General features: G+C 36.4%; 1 pseudogene; it reads left to right on the forward strand.

The window, feature by feature from the left end:
• On the forward strand, positions 5,244-5,983 carry PPIAP22 (peptidylprolyl isomerase A pseudogene 22; annotated as a pseudogene).
• The last annotated feature ends 226 nt before the right edge of the window (positions 5,984-6,209 follow it).

Genomic DNA, 6,209 nt, shown 5'->3' on the forward strand with positions numbered 1-6,209 from the left:
ATTTAAATAGTGTATCAGTCCATTTTCATACTGCTATGAAAAATTACCCGAGACTTGGTAATTTATAAAGGAAAGAGGTTTAATGGACTCACAGTTTCACATTGCTGGGGAGGCCTCATAATCATGGTGGAAGGTGAAGGAGGAGCAAAGTCATGTCTTACATGGCACCAGGCAAGAGAAAATTGCAGGGAAACTGCCCTGTATAAAACCATCAGATCTCCTGAGACTTATTCACTATAATTAGATCAGCATGGGAAAAACTTACCCCCATGATTCAGATTCAATTATCTCCCACCAGGTCCTTCCCATGAAAAGGGGGGATTATGGGAGCTACAATTAAAGATGAGATCTGGGTGGGGACACAGCGAAACCATATCAAAGAGCAATTATATACATAATTAAAACAAATGAAAACATACAAAGTCTCAGCAAAGAAATAGAAGATATAATAGGGCTGGGCATGGTGGCTTATGCCTGTAATCCCACCACTTTGGGAGGCCAAGGCAGGAGGATTACACATGGTCAAGAGTTTGAGACCAGCCTGGCCAATATGGTAAAACCCTGTCACTACTAAAATTACAAAAATTATCCAGGTGTGGTTGTGGGCACCTGTAATCCCAGCTACTTGGGAAGCTGAGGCAGGAGAATCACTTGAACCTGGGAGGCAGAGGGTGCAGTGAGCCAAGATTGTGCCATTGCACTCCAGCCTGGATGACAGAGCAAGACTCCATCTCAAAAAAAAAATAAATAAATAAAAATAAAAAATAGAAGATATAATAGAAGAAACCATACATATGAAGCCAAAATTGATTCAACTAAAAAGTAAAATAGACATATCCACAACTACAGTTGGAGATTTCAATATCCCTTTCTCAACATTTGAGTAAATGAGACAAAAAATTGGAAGGCTGTAGAAAAACTCAATAGTATCATTAAGAAACAGGATCTGATAGATATTTATCAAACCTTCAACACAAAACAACAGAATACATATTCTTTCTAAATGCCTGTAAATATGTACCAACATAGACCATATTCTGAGCAACTAAACCATTCTATGCTCAAACAAAAAGATCCAACAAAATTGTTAAACCATTTAAAAGAATTATAGAGTGTTATAGAGTAAAAGTATAGAGTGTTATATGACCACTGGAATCAAAATAGAAACCAATCACAGAAAGAAAACAGGAAAATATCTAAACCCTTGGAGATTAAAAAAATATATACTTCTAAATAATCCATGGGTCAGAGAGGAATGCCTCAAGGGAAATTTTTAAAAAATTGAACTGAATTAAAAAATAAAAGTACAACATAGGAAATTTACATGATGCAGCTAAAGCAGTACTAATATGTACATGTATAGCACTAAATGTTATGTTAGAAATGTCATCAGCCCACATCAGGAGTGCTTTTCAGGATACCTAGCCAGCTTCCTGGAAACAAAGTCTTCACTATTAGCTTTTTTATAAGTTCACTTTGTTGTTATACTTTTTCTTCTTCACAGTATGAAATTACTTTCTTTTCTTATATTTCCATTCACATTATTTTTTAAATTTATTTTTTGGTTAACTGAAACTTTAAAAAACTTATCTGGTACAAATTCCAATTTAAACTTTTTGTGGATAGATATTTAGGATAGTAAAAATAGAGCCTGGTGGTGAATAGAAATCCCTCCAGAGCAGCCTAATGCAGGATAGCTGGCACACTTACACCTTCCTGTGACTATGTTGATGGCCTCTACTGATCCATGGCACTGTTTGTGTTCTAAGTGGCTACACACTAAAGATATGCCCAACTGGGAAGTCTGCCCTGATTAATGTCCTTCACACATAAGGTACAGATGGCATGGCACTTCTTGCCTTAATTAATTTATTAGGGACGCCATATGGGAAAAACAGCTTTCCTTTCAACTGGAATTACTTGGGGAAATAAAACGACAACCCATTGCCGTGGGACTACATTAAATTATCAAACTAGCTGAAGATAAAAGAAATCAATGAATTGCTTGGACAGAAGCTGTGTGCACTGGCATCTTTCCATTACTCCTATTTTTGAAAACCAGATAGAATGCAGTTTTTCAGGTGATGCAACATTTTAAGTGCAGAACTGTTTATTAGAGTTGACATCAAGTAAAAATATTCAAGACTGAGTTAATAAGACTGTTCAGCTGACCATTAGGATGCCATTGTTTAAAATTTTGTGTAATAACAATGTGTTGGAATGACACTGGGGCAAAAGCGTGGGTACACAATTAAGTTTTAAATCTGTGCATTTATTAATGTTTTGCTCTAAATGTTACATTCGTGCACTAGGAGAAATATACAATCTGTGCAATTGCTTAGGGAGCAAATAATCAACATTTCTTATGTAGGTGTAAGTAACTATGGGTATTAGACTTTTCCTCAAACCTGTGTTTTTCAATCTCGAGTAATTATACAAGGAAGATGCTCAATAAGTATTTGAAGAGTTAAATAATCTTCCAATTAGTTTCAAATTTGGTGGCAAATTTTCATTGCCATTTCATAGTTCACTAAAGGATCATGGGGTTCCTTTTAATGCACTCTACAAGATATTATCTGACTACTGCTCTAAGAGAGTTAGCAGCTTAACTTGCATGTTAATATTCATAGCAACAAGTCCTTTACACTATTTTTGTTTTACAGTGAATTAAAACATCAGAAAATCTAGGCCATTTCCTGAATAAGTTATACAGGCACAAAGATATATATTTGCTGGAAAGCATTTATATTTATTTTTCTTTTCTCTTATACAAACTATCAGGTACAAAAGCATTATATTTAGAGGTGCAGAATACACAGTAAAATATCTTAATTTTTAAAATTGCATTATCTAACTTTCTACACTAATATTAAAACGCTAAAATCTGTTGTTTGGGTATCTTTTTAGGAAGATAAATCTATGAGGATGTCTATGCAATGCAAACAAATCATATTTCACTGCATAACTGAACATATGGAGATTAGGAACCTCATAAATTGAATTTTAAATGAACTGACCTTATTGGATCCTTGACAAAAGGGAAAAAGAATGTACCAACAAGAATGGAAATATATTAATGGATTAGATTTATCACGAGTATCAAATAAAATAAAATATACTCTCAGATAAAAAATATGATAATATACAGTAATTCATATTCTACTGGTTAGTTTACCATTGACCTCTTCCCTCTCATACTTCCCATTATAAAAATAGTGTGCAGTTATTCAAGAGGTGTTGTTCAGTGTCAGGCACTGTGCTAGGTACTGGATATCGTAAGTATGATGAAGAAAAAAGACAAAGGTGCTGTTCTAAAGGCACTTGCTGTAAAATGGAACTGCCAGCAAATAAGACATTAAAATCAGGTGCAACCATCATAGTGATAGCCAATATATAGAAACTATGGGAACAAAGGAATAACATTTAACTTCTGCTGCCGAAGAGAAATTGTATTAGGCAGAGACTTGATGGAAGCGTAATCACATGAAGAAAAGGCAGTGTTCAAGGCAGAAGAAACAGCATAAACAAAAGCCTAAAGGGAAAATAGAGCTGTGGATACTTCTGGAACTGCAAATAGATTTACATGATAGGGAAATCCCCAGGCTAAGGATGATAAGATGAGATAGAAATAATCTGCAGGTGGATGAGACGATAAAAGGCTATTTGAACCATATATAATTGTATTGTGTATGCGTGTGTGTGTGTGTGTGTGTGTGTGTGATTTACTTTAGATCTGCACTCAATGCATTTAGTATTTTGCCCCGTGGTGATATTCATTATTACTTACTAAAAGATGAATTAAAACTGAATAATATTGCCAACACATTAGGCAAGTATTGTAAAATTGGACTACTTTTGCCAACCATGTATGAAATAGGCCACAAGCATTCACAATACAAAGTTGCAGATTTTCTAAATGTTTTATAATAAATCACCAAAGAGGCACTCGGGGTGGCCATTTACAAATATTAAGAACAAAATGGTTTTATAGGCAAACATGAACAATGAAGAATGAATTCAAAATTAGAAACCAGAAATTTCACCATCTGCTAGTCTGGAACTACTGGTCAGTTCTGGAACTGCTTAGTCTGAAACTGACCTTGGCAAATATTTAAGCTTTCTTCCACTGACTCCATTTCTAATGTAGAGAAGCAGATAATTGGAGGCATAAAGTTATCATGCACAGAAAGACTTGTAACTATCTTCTGCTATTTCAAGGACCACTACATAAGACCCTATAGTGATTTTAAATTGTTTCCTTTATAAATAAGAATGAAGATCTGAGGGTCTCAGAATAGATAATTTCATTGCATGAACTTTTTTCTGCATCTAAAGAATCTCTTAGAAAAGTATTGGGAAGAAAGGATTTGAAGAGAATACTGTTCATTTTTTTTCCCATAACAAATTAATCTCCATTAGATGGTGAGGTTAGTTAGGAAGTTATTCAATAGTCCAGGCAAGACGTGATGCATGAGGGTGGTGACTGTGAGTATTGAGATAGACATAATTAACAGGCGGAATCAATCAGGTGTAGCAGCCAAATGGATTTAAGGATAAGAAAAAAGAAACACTTCAGGTTGACGCTGGGATATTAACTCTGGTAACGGGTGATGCTTTGATTGGAGTTAGGGAACGTGAGAGAAGGATTAATGAATTTTGCAGCAAAGTTACTTCATTTATTCAATCCAGTACAGCTGGCTTTTAGGTGTCTGCAGAATAGATCACTGAATATGTCCAATAGGAAGCTGGAAAACTGACTATAGAGAAATAAGATGGAGGAGAGAAAGTGAAGGAAATAATTGTACATTTTTTTTCAAGTATTTTGAAGATACAATTGGGCAAAAAATGATACGGCCATGGCTGTAAGATGTATATCCAAGGTAGGTTATATTTGTAAGTATGTGAGAACCATAAACATATTTCAGTATAGATGGAAAGAAAACAGTATGAAGCGGACAATTCAGGAAAAGTAATCGAATTGTATTATGAGATCTTTTGCAAAGGTAAAAGGCAATGCTGCCCAGGAGGCACCTGTGGAACTTGGCTTCTGACAGAAGGAGAGAATTCTTCTCATTGTTACAAGAAATAAAAAAGCAGTATCAGAAGGGTGTATATTAGGTCCAGTTAAGATCTGCATAAAAAAACAAGGTATTTTTATTTGATGGCAGTAATTTTCTCTGTGACTAGAAGGCAAGACTGAAGGTGTGCTGGTAGGATGGCGTCTTAAGAAGCAATTACTTGGCTTTGCAGACGCCGCCGCCGAGGAAAACCGTGTACTATTAGCCATGGTCAACCCCACCGTGTTCTTCGACATTGCCGTCGACGGCGAGCCCTTGGGCCGCGTCTCCTTTGAGCTGTTTGCAGACAAGGTCCCAAAGACAGCAGAAAATTTTCGTGCTCTGAGCACTGGAGAGAAAGGATTTGGTTATAAGGGTTCCTGCTTTCACAGAATTATTCCAGGGTTTATGTGTCAGGGTGGTGACTTCACACGCCATAATGGCACTGGTGGCAAGTCCATCTATGGGGAGAAATTTGAAGATGAGAACTTCATCCTAAAGCATACAGGTCCTGGCATCTTGTCCATGGCAAATGCTGGACCCAACACAAATGGATCCCAGTTTTTCATCTGCACTGCCAAGACTGAGTGGTTGGATGGCAAGCATGTGGTGTTTGGCAAAGTGAAAGAAGGCATGAATATTGTGGAGGCCATGGAGCGCTTTGGGTCCAGGAATGGCAAGACCAGCAAGAAGATCACCATTGCTGACTGTGGACAACTCGAATAAGTTTGACTTGTGTTTTATCTTAACCACCAGGTCATTCCTTCTGTAGCTCAGGAGAGCACCCCTCCACCCCATTTGCTCGCAGTATCCTAGAATCTTTGTGCTCTCGCTGCAGTTCCCTTTGGGTTCCATGTTTTCCTTGTTCCCTCCCATGCCTAGCTGGATTGCAGAGTTAAGTTTATGATTATGAAATAAAAACTAAATAACAAACAAAAAAAAAGAAGCAATTACTTAGAAAATGTTGCTGAAAAGAGAGCATACAAAGTAGACTAAGAGAAGGACTTGTTGGGCAATTTTAAGACCCCATAATTAGTGAGATTTGAGTCTCCAATACGTTTTGTTAGATTTTCTTCATCAGAAGGCTGTAGCCCACATAAAGATTTTTTTTTAAAAAGGAATATAATTCACCAATAAGGTTTTGATTTAACC

This window comes from Homo sapiens, chromosome 21, assembly GCF_000001405.40.
Source record: "Homo sapiens chromosome 21, GRCh38.p14 Primary Assembly".
NCBI classification, from domain to species: Eukaryota; Metazoa; Chordata; class Mammalia; order Primates; family Hominidae; genus Homo; species Homo sapiens.